Below are 18,408 nucleotides of genomic sequence, written 5' to 3'. Positions count from 1 at the left end.
CAAATATTTACTGCATGCCAGACAGTGTTCTATGAAGTCATTTAAAAAACGCTGGCAGGGTGCAGTGGCTCACGCCTGTACTCCCAGCACTTTCTGAGGTCAAGACAGGAGGATCACTCAAGCCCAGGAGTTCAAGACCAGCCTGGGCAAGATGGTGAGGCCCCATCTCTACTTTTTTTTTTTAATTAAAAAAAAAAGGCTGGGTGTGGTGGCTCATGCCTATAATCCCAGCACTCTAGAAGGCCGAGATGGGCAGATCACCTGAGGTCAGGAGTTCAAGACCATCCTGGCTAACATGTGGAAACCCCATTTCTACTAAAAATACAAAAATTAGGTGGGTGTGCTGGCCTGTGCCTGTAGTCCCAGCTACTTGGGAGGTTGAGGCAGGAGAATCACTTGAACCTGGGAGGTGGAGGTGTAGTGAGCCAAGATCTTGCCATTGCACTCCAGCCTGGGCAACAAGAATGAAACTCCATCTCAAAATAAATAAATAAATAAATAAATAAATAAATAAATAAATGAATAAAAATAAGGCCAGGCGCGGTTGCTCATGCCTGTGATCCCAGCACTTTGGGAGGCTGAGGCAGGTGGGTTACTTGAGGTCAGGCGTTCAAGACCAGCCTGGCCAATATGATGAAACCCCATCCCTACTGAGAATACAAAAATTAGCCAGGAGTGATGGCAGGCACCTGTAGTTCCAGCTACTAGAGAAGCTGAAGTGGAAAGATTGCTTGAACCTGGGAGGCGGAGGTTGCAGTGAGCCGAGGTTGCGCCACTGCACTACAGCCTGGGCGACAGAGTGAGACTCCATATCAAAAATAATAATAATAATAAATAAATAAACATAAAAAATTAGAGCCAGGTGCAGTGGCTCATGCCTGTAATCCAAGTGTGTTGGTAGGTCAAGGTGGGTGGATTGCTTAAGCCCAGGAGTTTGAGACCAGCCTGGCAACATAGCAAGACCCCATCTCTATTTCTATTAAATAATAATAGGAATAATAAATAATTTAATTTAAAATGCCACAACAACCTTATGATGTTCATACTATTATCCACCTTTAATAGAGGGGAAGTAGATAGTCAGAGAAATGAATTGACTTATGCAGAATCACACAGCTTGGAGCAGGATTTGCATCCAGGACTCTTGGCTCCAGAGTCCAGCTCTGAGCTGTTATAAATAAATGAATTGAAGTCCTTGTCTTCATTTCTAAGAAACCCAGCCTCTCTCTCTCAGCATTCCCTCACTTTTCTCTCATCTCCCTGGTCTTCCGTTGTTTCTCAGGACCGTAAGAGGTTGAATGGGATTTCAGGGTTACAGGAAAAGCCCAGGTCCCGCAGCACAGTGTGTTCAGAACCATGGTCAGCGTCCAGTCTCGCTGAGTCTTCGCCGAGCGCGGTGCCCTCTGAGACAACATGCCTGTTTCCCAGCAGCCCAAGCAGGCTTGGGGTTCAAAGCTGACATCTGTTCAGCATGTGGCCTTGGGCAGTGATTTCATGGCTTAAACCTTCAACTGTCTTCTCTATGAAATGAGGATAACAAAAAGACCCATCTCCAGGATGACTGTAAAGAGAACATTATATAATGTATGTACATTATTTATAAAAGCACTTGCCACTTAGCACATAAGTCTAGACTACTTTATAAGTCTTTGCAAGGTGGTACAAAACACAAAACAAAACAACACCCCCCACAACCAAAAAGGTGGTTAAAAGCTTGCACTGTGGACACAGACAGACCTGGGTTCAAATCCAGACACTGCCACTTTCTAGCTGTGTGAGCTTGGCAAGAGACTTGAGCTCTGGTCTCGGCCCCTCTCCCCAGGGAAAAGCAATCGTTACAATATTATTATAGGCTGAGGGTGGTGGTTTTCACTTGTAATCCCAACAGTCTGGGAGGCTGAGGCAGGTGAATTGCTTGATCCCAGGAATTTGAGGCCAGCCTGGGCAATATAGCAAGACCCTGTCTGTACAAAAAATAAAAATTAGCTAGGCATGGTGGTGCACGCCTGTAGTCCCAGGTACTTGGGAGGCTGAGGCTAGAGGATCATTTGAGCCCAGAGGTCAAGGCTGTAGTGAACCACGGTTGCGCCACTGCACAGCAGCCTGGGTGAAAGAAAAGGACCCTGTCTCAAACAAAACAAAATAAATTGGCCGGGCACAGTGGCTCACACCTATAATCCCAGCACTTTGGGAGGCTGAGGTGGACAGATCATCTGAGGTCAGAAGTTCGAGACCAGCCTGGCCAACGTGGTGAAACCCTGTCTCTACTAAAAAAAAAAAAAAAAAAAACAAACAAAAATATTAGCCAGGCGTGGTGGTGCTGCGCATCTGTAATCCCAGCTACTCAGGAGGCTGAGGCACAAGAATCGCTTGAACCTGGGAGACGGAGGTTGCAGTAAGCCTAGATCATGCCACTGCACTCCAGCCTAGGTAAGAAAGTGAGACTCTATCTTAAAAAAGAAAAGAAAAAACAAAAACAAAAAACAGGCCAGGCGCAGTGGCTCATGCTTGTAATTCCAGCACTTTGGGAGGCCAAGGTGGGTGGATCACCTGAGGTCAGGAGTTCGAGACCAGCCTGGTTAACATGGCAAAACCCTGTTTATACTAAAACTAAAAAAATTAGCCGGGCGTAGTGGCATGCACCTGTAATCCCAGCTACTCGGGAGGCTGAGGCGGGAGAATCGCTTGAACCTGGGAGGCTGAGGTTGCAGTGAGCCGAGATAGTGCCACTGCACTCCAGCCTGGGCGACAGAGGGAGACTCCTTCTCAGAAAAAAAAAAAAAAAAAAAAAAAAAAAAGAACAAAAAAACCCACAATATTATTAGATAGTCAACCTCAAAGACAAGCGGGAAGGTAAAAAGAAATAATGCACAGAGTTATGCACTCAGTACTAGCTATTATTATTTTATCCCTTCTCCCACCCCACTGTTCACATTTTACACTGTAATAAAAAGGTATGACCTTGGGCAATAATTGCCTCTATGAGCCCAGTGCCTGGCATATGATGTGGTGCACATTTAACAAATTACAACCATTACTATTCCTTCCACAAATGTTTGCTGAGAGCTGGGCACTGTCACAGGTGCTGGAGATTTAATAGTGCACAAAATCTTTTTGTAAGAATCTGACCTCATGAAGCTATGTGGGGTGATAGAAGTGTTCTAATAGCTTCATTTAAGTGAGGGCTACACAGATGAACATATGTGAAAATTCATTCAGGTTGGAAACTTTAAATTGTTCAGTTAACTGTGTATCTTAAAACTTACAACATGCCAGACCGGGCACAGTGGCTCACGCCTGTAATCCCAGCACTTTGGGAGGCTGAGGCAGGTGGATCACCTGAGGTTAGGAGTTCGAGACTAGCCTGACTAACATGGTGAAGCCCCATCTCTACTAAATACAAAAAATTAGCCAGGCATGTTGACACATGCCTGTAACCCCAGCTACTTGGGGGGCTGAGGCAGGAGAATTGCTTGGACCTGGGAGGCGTAGGTTGCAGTGAACCGAGATTATGCCATTGCACTCCAGCCTGAGCAACAAGAGCAAAACTCCATCACAAAATAACAACAAACAAACAAACAAAAACTTGACAACAGGCCAAACACGGTGGCTCACACCTGAAATTCCAGCATTTTGGTGGGGCTGAGGCAGGAGGATCCCTTGAGCCCAGGAGTTCAAAATCAGCCTGGGCAACGTAGGGAGACTCTGCCTCAGTTTTCTTTTTTTTTTTTAAAGGTTATTAAACGGTTAAAAAAAATCATTGCCCTTAAGGAATGTATGTGTTGTAGACAGATAATAGAAAAAGTAATTATACAGAAAGTGATATATTCTGTGAAAAAATTCTGGGAAAGGGCTAGGTAATGTTGGGGGTGGGGGATTACAATTTTATTTTATTTTTGAGACGGAGTCTCATTCTGTCGCCTAGGCTGGAATGCAGTGGCACCATCTCTGCTCACTGCAACCTCTGCCTCCCGGGTTCAAGTGATTCTTCTGCCTCAGCCTCCCGAGTAGCTGGGATTACAGGCACGTGCCACCACGCCTGGCTAATTTTTATATTTTTTGGTAGAGATGAGGTTTCTCCATGTTGACCAGGCTGGTCTTGAACACCTGACCTTGTCAAGTGATTCACCCACCTCGGCATCCCAAAGTGGTGGGAATTACAGGCGTGAACCACCATGTCTGGCCTGGGGATTGCAATTTTAAATTGGGCAGTCAGGTTGGCCTCAGTGGAGAGGTGACATTTGAGCAAAGGCTTGAAGGAGGGGAGAGAGTGATCCACAGGGATATCATGGGGACAGCCAGTGCAAAGGCCCTGGGGTAGGAAGAAGAAAGTAAGGCAACCAGTGTGGCTGGAGTACAGTGAGGCAAGGGAGAGAGATGAGATGAGCAGTGTGCTGGGAACACATCATGTAGGAACTCTTAAACCACTGTAAGGACTGCTTTTGCTGGGAGATGGGATAATTGCCAAGGAGATTTTGAGTGGAGGAGGGACAGACTTGTATTTTAAAACTACCTCTCTGGGCCGGGCGCAGTGGCTCAGGCCTGTAATCCCAGCTCTTTGGGAAGCCGAGGCGGGTGGATCACCTAAGGTCAGGAGCTCAAGACCAGCCTGGCCAACATGCTGATACCCAGTCTCTAGTAAAAATACAAAAATTGAGGGTCGGGTGGGGTGCAAAGCAAAACCAAACCAAAACAAACAACAACAACAAAAAAAAACCACCAAACAAAAACAAAAACAAAAACAAAAAAAACTACCTCTCTTGTTATATAAGCAATGGAATGTAGTGTTATGATTTTCTCCAATCCTAATATCCACGAATCCCATTGCCGGTTCACCTCCCCAAACCCTTGGGCCCTCAGGGCTGCTCATCTGCCGCCGGCTGCCCTACGGCCTGGGTCCCGAAGCCTGCGCCTTGGGCGATGCCGAAGCTAAACATGCCCATGGGCGCCCCGCCTCTCTACAGGTCTTGCACTGCCCTGCACCTGCGCCCCTAGGCCACCTCAGTCCAGGCGAAGCCCTGAGCCGGGACCAGCCTTTGGTCAGAATGCTGCTCATGACGCGGCTCGGGCCCAGCAGGCAGTCCGGGAGCACCGGGGCAGGTGCAAATTCCACGTTGGAAAAGTTTGGCTGCACCATGCTTGCGAAGCTGCAGCTGAACGCGCCCACCAGGGCATAAGCGCGAAGGAGGGATCGTAGGTGTCAACCCCCGCGGGCCGCGGCGGCCTCGGGGGGAAAAACACCTGCACGCCAGCCGAAGAGCGCAAAGCCAGAGAGTGCACTGGTCCACCACAGAGCGCAGCACCGTGCCAGGGCGCAGAGCCCACGCACGCCCGGTCGGCGTCGCAGCACCAGGAGCACAGGCTACCCGGGCCACTAGCCTCCAGGAACACGCAGTCTCGGCGCCCGGGACGCTCTGGGGCAAAGTGGGGCACCGTGTGGAGACCACTCCAGCGACCCTGGGGCGGCGGTCGTCCAAACGCGTGGCCACAGGCCTTGCTTCTCGCTTGCAGACAACTGAGGCCAGCCAGCAGCGCGACAGGATGGGCGGCCACGACGCGGGTGCCGGATAGGTCTCCTGCTCTCTGCAACTGCAGCGCCTCTGGAAGCCTTCAAGGCTCAATGGATGGGGCCAGCGGGCAGGGTGGCCTACGCGGTCCAGCAGAACAGGCTTAGGGGGCTTGAGGCGCCTCAAGAGCGTGGGCCCAGCGCCCGCCACCACCGCAAACTCCTTGTGCCGGTCGCCGGGCGGCAGCGACGGCGTCACCATCGATTAGGGAGTGCCCAGCAGGTAGCGCCGCAGAGCCAGCGCCGTGTCCCGGGAGGCGCGCCCACGCGCGTTCACCGCCTCCACTTCCTCGGGCCGCGACGTCGCTGCTTGCACAGCGCCGCCTGCCGCGAGCCCTGCAGCTCCTCTGCCCCGGGCGGGCACACCCACACCGTCGTGCCTGGCTGCAGGCGCGGGGAGCACGGGGAGAGTGGCGCCCACGCAGGGAGCGCTGTCACCAGCATCGCCGTCGGGGGCCCTGTGGGCGGTGGCGACATATATAGCTGGAAGTTGGGCTTCTCAGCGCCCCCGTTTTCCGAGAAAGCCGTGATGAAGCGGCAGCCCTGGAAACATAAAACACAGACGTCCGTCGGGCTTGAGGGAACCAGGAGCCCAGAGGAGGCAGTCAAGAATAATCCGGTGGATTTGGAAGCTAAATGCGTCAGATTCTAATTCTGACTCTGCCACTTTCTCTCCCTCTCTCCCTCCCTCCTTCTCTCCCTCCCTCTCTCCCTCCCTTCCTTCCTTTTCTTTTTCTGTTTTAGAGAGGAGACTCAATCTGTTGCCCAAGCTGGTCTCCCAGGCTCACGCGATCCTCCCACCTTGGCCTCCCAAAGTGCTGGGATTACTTACAGGCGTGAGCCACCTTGCCCAGCCGACTCGGCCACTTTCTAGCCAAGTGAACTTGGGCAAGTCACCTCCTTTCTTGGGGCTTAAGCTGCTGTGTCTGTAAAGGGGGTATCGGTGCACACTTCACAGAATGATGGGGAGCTTGATGTCAAAGCCATGGCATGAAGTCAGCTATATCAATATTAGCTTAAACTTGCTTCTTTTGCACCATCTGTCCCCAAAAGGCCCGCCCAGCCTCCTCAGAACCAGTTTTGCCAATCTCCTGGCACACAGTCTGCCCAAATAGCCCCTTGTCCAGCTGGCCAGGGCCCTGTCCCAAGAAGTTCCACTGTGGCCAATCCCCTGTCACAGAGCCATGCCAGACAGCCTCCCAACCTGAGCCAGCACAACCAGCCCCTCCCTACCCCACACTCTGCTGCAAATCCAGACCAACTCACCAGCTTTCTGTGTTCCTTCTGGGGCACTCACCCTGTAGGAAACCCAAGGCACCGAGGCACAGCTGGGGGTAGAGGGAGATAGACTGGTTAGTGTGGTTCCTCCTGCCAGCCTTCCCTCCAGGCCTCCCACTGCAGGGGCAGTACGGGGCACAAGGGAGACCTCAGAGAAGGGCTCAGCCTCAGAGCCCAGGGCCCGGGGGTCACCTGCCAGAGCAGGGCTGAGGCCAACCACATTGCAGGGGCATTTATAGTCCTAGGTGCCTGGGCCTGGCCCTCAGCACCCACCCTGGGTCTACACACAAATGTACCCATTAGTACTGGCTCCAGCCTGACCTGGTGCCACTGATCATACAGAGGCCTAAGTATGGGGGTGCTGGGTGGAGAAAGGAGGGGACAGAGAAAGGAAAGACAGCTATGGGGAGGTGGGGACAGAGATCGGCATAGAGAGTAAATGTGGGAGAGGGAAAGATACACAAAAGTTACGGTGAAGGCCAGGCACAGTGGCTCACGCCTGTAATCCCAGCATTTAGGAAGGCCGAGGCAAGTGGATCATCTGAGGTCAGGAGTTTGAGACTAGCCTGGCCAACATGGTAAAACCCCATCTCTACTAAGGACACAAAAATTAGCCAGGCGTGGTGGCGTGCACCTGTAATCCCAGCTACTCCAGCTACTCTGGAGAGTGAGGCAGGAGAATTGCTTGAACCGGGGAGGTGGAGGTTGCAGTGAGCTGAGATTTTGCACTCCAGCCTGAGCAAAACTCCGTTTCAAAAAAAAAAAAAAGGGTTATGGTGAGATGAAGAGATGGACGAGGGGAGAGGGACAGATAGGGTAAGGAATGGAGAAAGAGAGAAGGAAAAAGACCAGCTGAGGCTCCGGCGGACTGCTGGCAGACATGGCCACTTCCCGCTTACCCCAGCAACACTAATGTTAAAGCAGTTCATCAGAAGGCAACAAGTTCTTCTCCTCTACAGAAGGATTTTCCAAACAATTCAGCAAGTTCCAAATGATTCTGATCGCAAATACCTGAAGGATTGGGCAAGGGAAGAATTCAAAAGAAACAAAAGTGCCACCGAAGAGGATACAATTCGGATGATGATTACTCAAGGCAATATGCAGCTCAAGGAGTTAGAAAAAACACTTGCTTTAGCAAAATCTTAACTATAGCATTATTCTGAAGGATTTTCAAAGTCTCCATGTGTTTTGTTGCATTTAGGATTAACAATGGACAACACAAAGCCCAGTCTTACTATTTGTATGTACAGTATTTGGTGATAGAGAGCAAAGGAAAACACATCAAAACAGTTGCCTTAACACTGAAAAACATACCCTGCATTTTGAAAATGTTTATGGATGGCTCAGCAGTTTTTAAAAGAAGCAAAACCCACTAACAAATGGCCAGTTCGCACATGAAAAGCTGCTGGACACAATCATTAGGGAAGTGTAAATCAAAACTACTATGAGGCCGGGCACAATGGCTCGCGTTTGTAATCCCAGTACTTTAGGAGGCCAAGGTAGGTGGATCATTTGAGATCAGGAGTTAGAGACCAGCCTGGCCAACATGGTGAAACCTCATCTCTACTAAAAATGCAAAAATTAACCAGGTGTGGTGGTGCATGCCTGTAGCCTCAGCTACTCGGGAGGCTGAGGCAGGAGAATCACTTGAACCCAGGAAGTGGAGGTTGCAGTGAGCTGTGATTGTGCCTACTGCACTCCAGCCTGGATGACAGAGTGAGACTCTGTCTCCAAACAACAACAACAACAACAAACAAGCAAACAAAAAACTATGAGATATCACTTCACATTCACTAGAATGGCTGTAATTAAAAAGAGAAATAATAACAAGTGTTGGTGAAGATGTGCAGAAATTGGAACCCTCATACATTGTTGGTGGGAATGTAAAATGGTGCAGCCACTTCAGGAAACAGACTGTCAGTTCCTCAAACTAATGAAACACAGCTGCCGCGTGATTTAGCAATTCTACCCCTAGGCCCATAAACATTATTTGGCAGTGAAAAGAAAGAAGGACTGATATACTGATATATGCTAAACATGGATAAACCTTGAAAACGTTAAGTGAAAGAAGCCAGTCACAAAAGATCACGTGATGATTCCATTCATATGAAGTGTCCAGAATAGGCAGAAAGATTAGTGGTTGCCTAGGCTGGCTGTAGGTGGAATGGATTAACTGTTAATGGGTGTAGGGTTTCTTTTCAGGGTGATGAAAATATCCTGCAGTTAGCTTGTGGTGTTAGGTTGCATGACTCTGAATATACTCAAATCCATTGAATTGTATCTCAATAAAGCTGAAAAAAAAAAAAGACCAAAGACAGACAAGAAAGTAATTTATTCCAGGAAAGCCTTTTTTTTTTTTTTTTTTTTTTTAGACGGAGTTTCGCTCTTGTTGACCAGGCTGGAGTGTGCAATGGTGCAATCTCGGCTCACCCCAACCTCTGCCTCCCGGGTTCAAACGATTCTCCTGCCTCAGCCTCCCGAGTAGCTGGAATTACAGGCATGCATCACGATGCCTGGCTAATTTTGTATTTTTAGTAGAGATGGGGTTTCTCCATATTGGTCAGGCTGGTCTCGAACTCCTGACCTCAGGTGATCTGCCCACCTCGGCCTCCCAAAGTGCTAGGAATATAGGTGTGAGCCACCACGCCAGGACCTTTTTTTTTTGAGATGGAATCTCGCTCTGTTGCCCAGGCTGGAGTGCAGTGGCATAATCCTGGCTGACTGCAACCTCCGCCTCCTGGGTTCAAGCAATTCTCCTGCCTCAGCTTTCCAAGTAGCTGAGACTACAGGCAGGTGCCACCATGCTCAGCTAATTTTTGTATTTTTAGTAGAGACGGGGTTTCACATGTTGGCCAGGCTAGTCTCGAACTCCTGACTTCAGGTGATCCACCCTCCTCCTCAGCCTCCCAAAGTGCTGTGATTACAGGCGTGAGCCACCGTGCCCAGCATCGGAAGAAGCCCTTTGAATATTGAGGAAGTGGTTGTATTTGGAGAGAGTGAGGGATGTAAGTTTCTCAGACAGAATAAGGGATTGAAGGGGCAAGGTGGAGAAGCTGAGACCTGAAGACCATCCTAAGACAAGAGGGGCACAGCCGGGTGTGGTGGCACACACCTGTGGTCCCAGCTACTTGGGAGGCTGAGGTGGGAGGATTGCTTGACCCAGGGAGATCAAGGCTGCACTGAACTGAGATGGTGCCACTGGACTCTGGCCTGGGTGACAGAGTGAGGCCCAGTCTCTAAAAATAAAAAAGTAAGGCCAGGCGCGGTGCTCACGCCTGTAATCCTAGCACTTTGGGAGGCCGAGGCGGGTGGATCACGAGATCAGGAGATCGAGACTATCCTGGCTAAGACGGTGAAACCCCATCTCTACTAAAAATACAAAAAAATTAGCCTGGCGTGGTAGCGGGTGCCTGTAGTCCCAGCTACTTGGAAGGCTGAGGCAGGAGAATTGCTTGAACCTGGCAGAGGTTGCAGTGAGCTGAGATTGTGCCACTGCACTCCAGCCTGGGTGACATAGCGAGACTCTGCCTCAAAAAAAATAAAAAATAAATAGATAAATTAGAAAAGAGGTGGCAGGGCCAGTGCGGGGAGGGGGAGGACTCCTGAGCCTGCTGAGAGAGAAGTTTTTTTTATTTTTATTTTTTGAGACGGAGTCTCGCTCTGTGGCCCAGGCTGGAGTGCAGTAGTGCAATCTCCGCGCACTGCAAGCTCCGCCTCCCGGGTTCAGGCCATTCTCCTGCCTCAGCCTCCGGAGTAGCTGGGACTACAGGCGCCCGTCACCAGGCCCGGCTAATTTTTTTGTATTTTTAGTAGAGACAGGGTTTCACCGTGTTAGCCAGGATGGTCTTGATCTCCTGACCTCGCGATCTGCCCGCCTCGGCCTCCCAAAGTGCTGGGATTACAGGCGTGAGCCACCACGCCTGGCCGAGAGAGAAGTTTTCAGTCTCATTTGAACTTGAGGATCCTAGGAAGGGGGCCGGGAGCCTGTGTTCTGAGGATGGAGGGGAGTGGAGATGGGGCTTCTGTGCCTGAGGAAGGAGGGGACTGCAGACCTGAACTCCTGAGGAAGGAGGAAGCTAGACGCCTGGGCTCCTGGATTGTGGAAGTGACCAGAGACAGAGGCAGGAGAGGGCACCAGGTGCCTGGATGTGGAGGTCTGGAGGATTTGGGGACAGAGGTTCCCGTGAGAAAACAATGGCCTATACATCACTTTCTTCTTCCCAGAACGTCCTCTCGGCTTCCCAGAAGCTGAGAACAATGGAGCTACAGCCTTCTAGGAGGATCTCGGAGAGGAGGGCAAGGATGGATCTCCAGAAATGGAGAAGCAAGGGACCCTGGGTACAGTTACCAACTGCCTCTCCCCCAGATGCTAGTAGCTGCACCCAGGCCTCCTTCTCCCCCAGAACGTTACCTTTGGTGGGAGGAATAAGGGGAGCATTCAAGAAGGAACCCATGTTCTTTCTTTTTTTTTCTCTTGAGACAGAGTCTCACTCTGTTGCCCAGGCTGGAGTGCAATGGGGCGATCTCGGCTCACTACAACCTCCGCCTCCTGGGTTCAAGCGATTCTCCTGCCTCAGCCTCCGGGGTAGCTGGAACCACAGGCACGTGCCACCACGCCCAAGTAATTTTTGTATTTTTAGTAGAGACAGGGTTTCACCATGTTGGCCAGGCTGGTCTCGAACTCCTGGCCTCAAGTGATCTATCCAACTCGGCCTCCCAAAGTGCAGGGATTACAGGCATGAGCCACCACGCCCAGCTGGAACCCACTTTCCTTCAATAGCTTCATCTGTCACTTGCTTAAGATCCTCCTTCATCACAAGCAGAGGATGTGGTTAGTGTTTCCTTCCTGCCTGAGGTGGGGAACAAACATATGTGCTAGAAACAGAGCTGGGGAAGAGGGATGGCGTGGGAAGGGCTGGGATGCTAGAGGCTGAGGAGCTCAGACTGTCCCAGGAACCCTGGGGAGCCATGGGGGTGCCTATACAGAGGAGGGTTTGGCTTTAGGAAGATCCTGGACCAGAGAAGAGACTGAGGCCAGGAGCCCAGTGCAAGGACCCAGATGGGTGAGGCCAGAACTAGCCCAGGATGGGGCCGGGGCAGGGAGGAAGGGGAGGTGGGGGACATTCAGGAGGCTGCATGGGGGTTGCTCTCCCAGACAGGACCTAGAAGGAGGCATAGGTCCGAGAAGAAGCCGAGGTGGGTGTGGGATCCAGTGGGTGTGAGGGGCCCCAGGGGATGTCCAGGAAGAGGGGTCCGGGAAACTGAGGTAAGCCAGGTCTGGACTTAGGAGAGATGCTGGGGTTGAGGATGGAAATATGGAGGTTGTAGCCTGGTGAGGTGGCTCAGGCCTGTAATTGCAACACTTTGGGAGGCTGAGGCGGGAGGATCACAAGGTCAGGAGTTTGAGACCAGCCTGGCCAGCATGGTGAAACCCCGTCTCTACTAAAAATACAAAAATTAGCCAGGCTTGGTGGCACACGTCTGCAGTCCCACCTACTCGGGAGGCTGAGGCATGAGAATCACTTGAACCAGGGAGGCGGAGGTTGTGGTGAGCCGAGATCTCGCCATTGCAATCCAGCCTGGACAACACAGCAAGACTTCATCTCAAAAAAAAAAAAAAAAAAAAAGAAAGAAAAGAAAAGAAATATGAAGGTTGCCAACAGAGAAGAAAAACAGGTGTTAGGGGTCGATGTCCCTGAATGTGAGTACAGAGGCAGGAAGGGGCTCATTCCCAGCTCCCCGAGGCCACAGCATTTAGGGGAAGCTGAAGAGGAAGTTCCCAAGGAACTGCTGTTTTACCCAGAGGGCTGGGGAGAGTGAAGTGCACCCCGGGGGTCTATGGAGTTGAAGCCAGAACATATCCAGAAGAAAGTCCTTTGAAATCTCACATTTTATACTCGAAATTCTTGCCAATTTTGCATTCACCTCCATCAGTCTATCCATGCGAGTTTTCATATAAAAAGATTTTCAAGTACTTACCAGTGAGTGACATTCTGTAACCTACCCTTCTGCATCCCCCGCCACCCACGGTAAACATTTGCAAGTGAAAATGAGGCTCTGGGTTCATCCCGTGGTTTTGGGGTCTCCCAGCTCGTCTCCTGCACTGGGATGTCTATTACCCAAGGTTCTGGTAAACGTGCCCATGCTGGCCTCTCCTCCTCAGAATCACCCACACTCCCAGCTCCTTCCACAGGCAGCTGAGTCCCCCATCTTCTCCCTGGCCTTGTGCCCCCATCCACCCTCCCCATGGTAGCTAGATGGATCTTTCTTTCTTTCTTTTTTTTTTTTTTTTTGAGATGGAGTTTCATTCTTGTTGCCCAGGTTGGAGTGCAATGGTGCAATCTTGGCTCACCGCAACCTCCGCCTCCTGGGTTCAAGCGATTCTCCTGCCTCAGCCTCCCGAGTAGCTGGGATTACAGGTATGTGCCACCACGCCCAGCTAATTTTGTGTTTTTAGTAGAGACAGGGTTTCTCCATGTTGGTCAGGCTGGTCTCGAACTCCCGACCTCAGGTGATCCGCCCGTCTTGGCCTCCCAAAGTGCTGGGATTACAGGTGTGAGTTACTGCGCCCAGCTGCCAGATGGATTTTTCTAAAGTGCAAACCTGACCCTGTCCCTCCACCTTATCACCCTCCACCCTCCATGGCCCCACAGTGCGCCCTTCTCCCATGGTGCGCCAGCCACACTGAACTCTGGCTCATTCTTTGAGTGTGCAGTCCTCTCTTTTTTCTTTTTTTTTTTTTTTGAGACGGAATCTCACTCTGTCACCCAGGCTAGTGTGCGGTGGCAGGATCTGGGCTCACTGCAACCTCTGCCTTCCAAGTTCAAGCGATTCTCCTGCCTCAGCCTCCCAAGTAGCTGGGATTACAGGTTCCTGACACCACGTCCAGGTAATTCTTTGTATTTTTAGTAGAGACGGGTTTTCGCCATGTTTGCCAGGCTGGTTTTGAACTCCTGACCTCAGGTGATTCGCCCGCTTCAGCCTCCCAAAGTGCTGGGATTACAGGCATGAGCCACTGCGCCTGGCCCTCTCTTGGCTTTTGTACCCAATGCTCTCTCTCCTGGGAAGACCCTCTCTGCCTCGGCTCTCTCTGTAAATCCCTCAAGTGTTCGCTCCTCCGGGCAGGACTGGCTACATAATTTGCAGGGCGCAGTGCAAAATCAAAATGTGGGGCCCTTGTTCAAAAATTATTAATTTCAAGATAGTGACACTAGGGCATTAAAGCAAGCATAGGGTACTTCTAAGTTTGGGGCATGGTGCAACCCCACAGTCACACTGCCATAAAGCTGGCCCTGCCTCAGGAAATCTTGGACTGTCTCCCCACCTCCCATCCCAGGCCCAGTTAGAAACTTCAGATTGCTTCTTGGCCTTTTGGCTAAGATCAAGTGTAGAACCCTCTGGCTCTGGGAGTCCCCTGGGCTTCTGCAAAAGCCCTGATCATTCTTGCCTGTTCTTTCCCCATCCCCGACCACTCTGGGATGCCATTGTTTTGTGATTATCTATTTCCTCCACTGGAAATAGAACTCTTTTTTGTTGGTTTGTTTTGGGACGGAGTCTCGCTCTGTTGCCCAGGCTAGACTACAGTGGCCCAATCTTGGCTCACTGCAACCTCTGCCTCCCGGGTTCAAGTGATTCTCCTGCCTCAGCCTCCCAGGTAGCTGGGATTATAGGTGCCTGCCATCACACCCGGATAATTTTTGTATTTTTAGTAGAGTTGGGGTTTCACCATGTCGGCCAGGCTGGTTGCGAACTCCTGACCTCAAGTGACCCACCTGCCTCGGCCTCCCAAAGTGTTGGGATTACAGGCATGAGCCACTGCTCCCAGCCTTGAACTGGAACTCTGAGGGCAAGGGCTAGGGCTGTGTTGGTCACCACAATGTTCCCAACGTCACTCCGCACAGGTCAGGACGACAGGCAGCACTGATACCTATCTTTGCTTTTGCGAGGTATGAGAGGGCACAGCCATCAGGGAGGACCCAAAGGCAGGAGGCAGGCGTCAGGTTCCACCCTGAACACAAACATCCTTTTTGGGAACACCTTTTATCTGATTCTCTCACATATGTGCCCATGCAAAGAGCTGCAAAAGCGTGGCATTAGCCTCAGCCTTGCAGGAGATCACAGGTGTCCCCAGACACTCAGGGCCTTTGTCAGATTTAGCCACCCCAAGACACATGGGTTGGATCTGGCAGTACACAGACAGGGCAGAATCCTGGTATTGGGTCTACAGTCACTTCAAGATAATGCTCCAGCAGCCGGAGCTTTGGTCTAAAAAATGTGTGGGGCCAAAAGCAGATGAGGAATTGATGAGGAATTGACAGTAGAAGTAGTTGTACTCCCTGAGCTCAGGAAATTGATGGACTTAGCTAGGCAGTTGGACAAGCTAATTATTATTATTATTTGTAGAGATGGGGTATGGCTATGTTGCCTGGGAGGCCACAGCATTTTGGGGGAAGTTAAAGTTCCTAAGGAACTACTGTTTTATCCAGAGGGCTGGGGAGAGTGAAGTGTGCCTCACAGGGTCCACGGAGTTGAAAACAGGCTGGTCTTGAACTCCTGGGCTCAAGCAATCCTCCCTGAGGGTGGCCTCTCAAAGCACTGGGATTACAGGCATGAGCCACTGTGCCTAGCTGACAAGCAAAATTTTAACTTTAAATCCTAGACACATGTGATTGTGTGTTTCTGCAGGCGGGTGGGGGTGGTCCAGGCATGCTGTGGGGGAACATGGGGGACCCATGCTAGAGGGACCAGTCTGCCCTCCTCCCATCCTTCCTGCTTCCATATTTGTAATAAGCTACTACCAAGTGTGTGTCCCCCTTCCAGCCCTGCATTTCCTGTGTCCACATTCCCCCTGACCACCCACTGCCTCTCAGCCTCCATCCACTGTCTGCCTGCTACTTGAGCCTGGAAAAGGTCCGTCATTCCCATGCTACACAGAAGTCCCTCCCCCATCTAAGGGGTGGAGCTGTGGATATCAGAGCCCAGTGTCTTACAACTCTTCTTCCCATCTCTGCAATCTTGCTGCAGAACTGGGTAGCTGTACAGTAGGGCACACTGTCTGCTGGGTGGGGGGCAGAGGCCTCTAGTAAGGTCGTCTCAAATCTCTCTTCAACCACTTCAGGCCCCAACTTGGTCCGGATCACCCTTCTGCTTGGACTATTGCAGTATCCTCCTCCCCACAGAGCTTCCTTGAGATCAGGGACTGCTACTCTCATTAGACCTCAAAACCCTTCAATGGGCCAGGCGGGGTGGCTCATGCCGCCTGTAATCCCAACACTTTAAGAGGCCGAGGCAGGTAGATCATGAGGTCAGGAGTTCGAGACCAGCCTGGCCAACATGGTGAAGAAGTCTCTACTAAAAATACAAAAATTAGCTGGGCGTCGTGGCAGGGCACCTGTAATCTCAGCTACTCGGGAAGCTGAGGCAGAAGAATCACTTGAACCCGGGTAGCGGAGGTTGCAGTGAGCCAAGATTGTGCCACTGCACTCTAGCCTGGGCGACAGCGAGACTCCGTCTCAAAAAAAAAAAAAACCAAAAAACCCTTCAATGGCTTCTCATGCCACTTAGAGGACAATCCACACTCCTCCCAGCAGCCTACGGGGTCCTGCGTCATCGGCTCCCTTCCTGCTTTCCAGCCTCAACCCAAGGTCACTCTCTTCCCTTCCCTCCCCTACTTCAGCCCCCTGGCCTCAGCTCTTTCACTCATGCTTCCCTCAGCACAGGCTCTTCCATTTGCACGGAATACCCTTCCCACCCCTTTCATGGTTAACTCCAACCTGCGCATCCTTCAGGTCTCCGCCAGGCCTCCCCTCCTCCAGGAAGCCTTCCTCAATCTCTCTTGTTGGGTCAGGGCCCCTGGTTACAGGGTCGCGCACTTCTGTATGTGTCTCCTGCATGGCGCCCCTTGGTCACTGCAGATGCTTACACTTGCTGGTGTGATTATATAACATCTACGGTCAGATCTGTAATCCCAGCACTGTGGGAGGCCAAGGTGGGAGGACCACTTGAGGTCAGGAGCTCAAGACCAGTATGGGAACACAGTGAGACCCCCATCTCTACAAAAATACAAAAATTAGCTGGGTGTGGTGGCACATGCCTGTAATCCCAGCTACTTGGGAGGCTGAGGTGGGAGGATCACTTGAGGCTGGGAGGTGGAGGCTGCAGTGAGCCATGATTGCACCACTGCACTACAGCCTGGGTGACATTGAGACTGTGTCTAAAAAAAAAAAAAAAACAAAACTCAGAAAACATTTGTGTCCCCACCAAATAGTGAGCGCCGCGAAGGCAGCACCTGTGCTGTATTTGTTCCGCAATGAATCCCCAGCACACTGCACACAGCAAGGATTGCTCACATTTAAAAATGTGGGTTTAGGGCCGGACGCGGTGGCTCACGCCTGTAATCCCAGCACTTTGGGAGGCTGAGACGGGCAGATCACGAGGTCAGGAGATCAAGACCATCCTGGCCAACGTGGAGAAATAAAAAAATTAGTCGGGCGTGGTGGCAGGCGCCTGTAATCCCAGCTACTCAAGAGGCTGAGGCAGGAGAATCGCTTCAACCCAGGAGGCGGGGGTTGCAGTGAGCGGAGATCGCGCCATTGCACTCCAGCCTAGGCGACAAGAGACTTCGACACACACACACACACACACACACACACACACACACACACACGAACAGTGCCCTCTGGCTCCCCCTCATGGGAGCAACTGGTAATTGTAGCCAGCACTAGGCCCCCAGCATCCTCACTTCCTAGGCTCCTTTTCTGTTTTTTTGGAGACAGGGTGTCGTTCTGTGGCCCAGGCTGGAGTGCAGTGGCGCAATCCTAGCTCACTGCAGCCTCGAACTCCTGGGCTCAGTGCAGTGGCGCAATCCTAGCTCACTGCAGCCTCGAACTCCTGGGCTCAAGCAATCCTCCCACCTTAGCCTCTCGAGTAGCTGGGACCACAGTCTCGAAACACTATGCCCCTGCTCCTAGGCCCCTTTCCCCAGGACTCATGCCCTCACTCTTCTTGATGACGTCACCTGACTTCAGCTGTCCAAGGCTAACAAACAACAAGAAGGATCTCATGATACTGCTGGGGACTTGGGGAGTAGGGTGTGGTCAGACGAGGTCCCCCAGGACTCAGGCTGGTCCCATGACTCATGGCATAACATGTTCAAGGCCTAGACCCCCCAGAAAAGCTGTGGCAGAATCTAGGATATGTCATCCCACGAGGTCACAATCATGTGCCCCAGGTCATGAAAAGGGCCAGTTCAGTCTTGGGCTCTCTTTACCATGCCCTCACACCAGTGTCCCTCCAGGTGACAGGACCCAGCTTCCCTCCACTCTCCTGCCTCTGGGGACATCATTAGTGAAGCCCTGAGTTCAGGGGGTGCTATTCCTCTTACTGCCAACCCCGTTCCTGGATCTCCAAGGAGGCTCAACATCTCCTAGACCGGGGTTTGGTTCTGCAAACCTCCAGGCTTGGTGTCTCATGGGGCCTAGGGCTGCCCAAGACAGAGTAAGGACCCACCCTGCAAAGACATGGGACTCCAGGCCCACAGGTTGACAGGGGCTGCACCCTCTAGC

The 18,408-nt window shown here is 51.5% G+C and overlaps 1 long non-coding RNA gene across 1 annotated transcript, besides 8 other annotated features; it reads right to left on the bottom strand.

Moving 5' to 3' along the window:
* Positions 1-1,037: 1,037 nt before the first annotated feature.
* On the bottom strand, positions 1,038-17,993 carry LOC105372383 (uncharacterized). Its single transcript, NR_136525.1, has 5 exons — positions 17,862-17,993; positions 7,744-7,855; positions 6,833-6,894; positions 4,514-6,109; positions 1,038-1,561 (listed from the first exon to the last, which is right to left on the bottom strand). It is a non-coding gene; the product is annotated as an uncharacterized LOC105372383 (long non-coding RNA).
* Positions 1,204-1,504: a silencer, noted in NCBI's record as "silencer 1 fragment used in repoter construct". NCBI's record gives its function as "represses an SCP1 promoter by reporter assays in K562 erythroleukemia cells {active_cell/tissue: K562}" and the evidence as "EXISTENCE:reporter gene assay evidence [ECO:0000049][PMID:32103011]".
* Positions 1,254-1,454: a silencer, noted in NCBI's record as "peak3453 fragment used in MPRA reporter construct". NCBI's record gives its function as "represses an SCP1 promoter by STARR-seq MPRAs in K562 erythroleukemia cells {active_cell/tissue: K562}" and the evidence as "EXISTENCE:reporter gene assay evidence [ECO:0000049][PMID:32103011]".
* Positions 2,637-2,801: a silencer, noted in NCBI's record as "fragment chr19:36453209-36453373 (GRCh37/hg19 assembly coordinates)". NCBI's record gives its function as "represses an EF-1alpha promoter that drives an FKBP-Casp9 reporter gene in an ReSE screen in K562 erythroleukemia cells {active_cell/tissue: K562}" and the evidence as "EXISTENCE:reporter gene assay evidence [ECO:0000049][PMID:32094911]".
* Positions 5,729-5,778: an enhancer, noted in NCBI's record as "active region_14510". NCBI's record gives its function as "activates an Ori minimal core promoter by ATAC-STARR-seq in GM12878 lymphoblastoid cells {active_cell/tissue: GM12878}" and the evidence as "EXISTENCE:reporter gene assay evidence [ECO:0000049][PMID:35858748]".
* Positions 5,939-5,988: a silencer, noted in NCBI's record as "silent region_10544". NCBI's record gives its function as "represses an Ori minimal core promoter by ATAC-STARR-seq in GM12878 lymphoblastoid cells {active_cell/tissue: GM12878}" and the evidence as "EXISTENCE:reporter gene assay evidence [ECO:0000049][PMID:35858748]".
* Positions 5,999-6,048: a silencer, noted in NCBI's record as "silent region_10543". NCBI's record gives its function as "represses an Ori minimal core promoter by ATAC-STARR-seq in GM12878 lymphoblastoid cells {active_cell/tissue: GM12878}" and the evidence as "EXISTENCE:reporter gene assay evidence [ECO:0000049][PMID:35858748]".
* Positions 16,367-16,661: an enhancer, noted in NCBI's record as "tiled region #1826; HepG2 Activating non-DNase unmatched - State 23:Low, and K562 Activating non-DNase unmatched - State 20:ReprD". NCBI's record gives its function as "activates a minimal TATA promoter and a strong SV40 promoter by Sharpr-MPRA in HepG2 and K562 cells {active_cell/tissue: HepG2 | K562}" and the evidence as "EXISTENCE:reporter gene assay evidence [ECO:0000049][PMID:27701403]".
* Positions 17,387-17,681: an enhancer, noted in NCBI's record as "tiled region #3529; HepG2 Activating DNase matched - State 12:CtcfO, and K562 Activating DNase unmatched - State 8:EnhW". NCBI's record gives its function as "activates a minimal TATA promoter and a strong SV40 promoter by Sharpr-MPRA in HepG2 and K562 cells {active_cell/tissue: HepG2 | K562}" and the evidence as "EXISTENCE:reporter gene assay evidence [ECO:0000049][PMID:27701403]".
* Positions 17,994-18,408: the final 415 nt, after the last annotated feature.

This window comes from Homo sapiens, chromosome 19, assembly GCF_000001405.40.
Source record: "Homo sapiens chromosome 19, GRCh38.p14 Primary Assembly".
Taxonomy (NCBI): Eukaryota; Metazoa; Chordata; class Mammalia; order Primates; family Hominidae; genus Homo; species Homo sapiens.
This window is presented reverse-complemented; position numbering and strand designations above follow the sequence as displayed.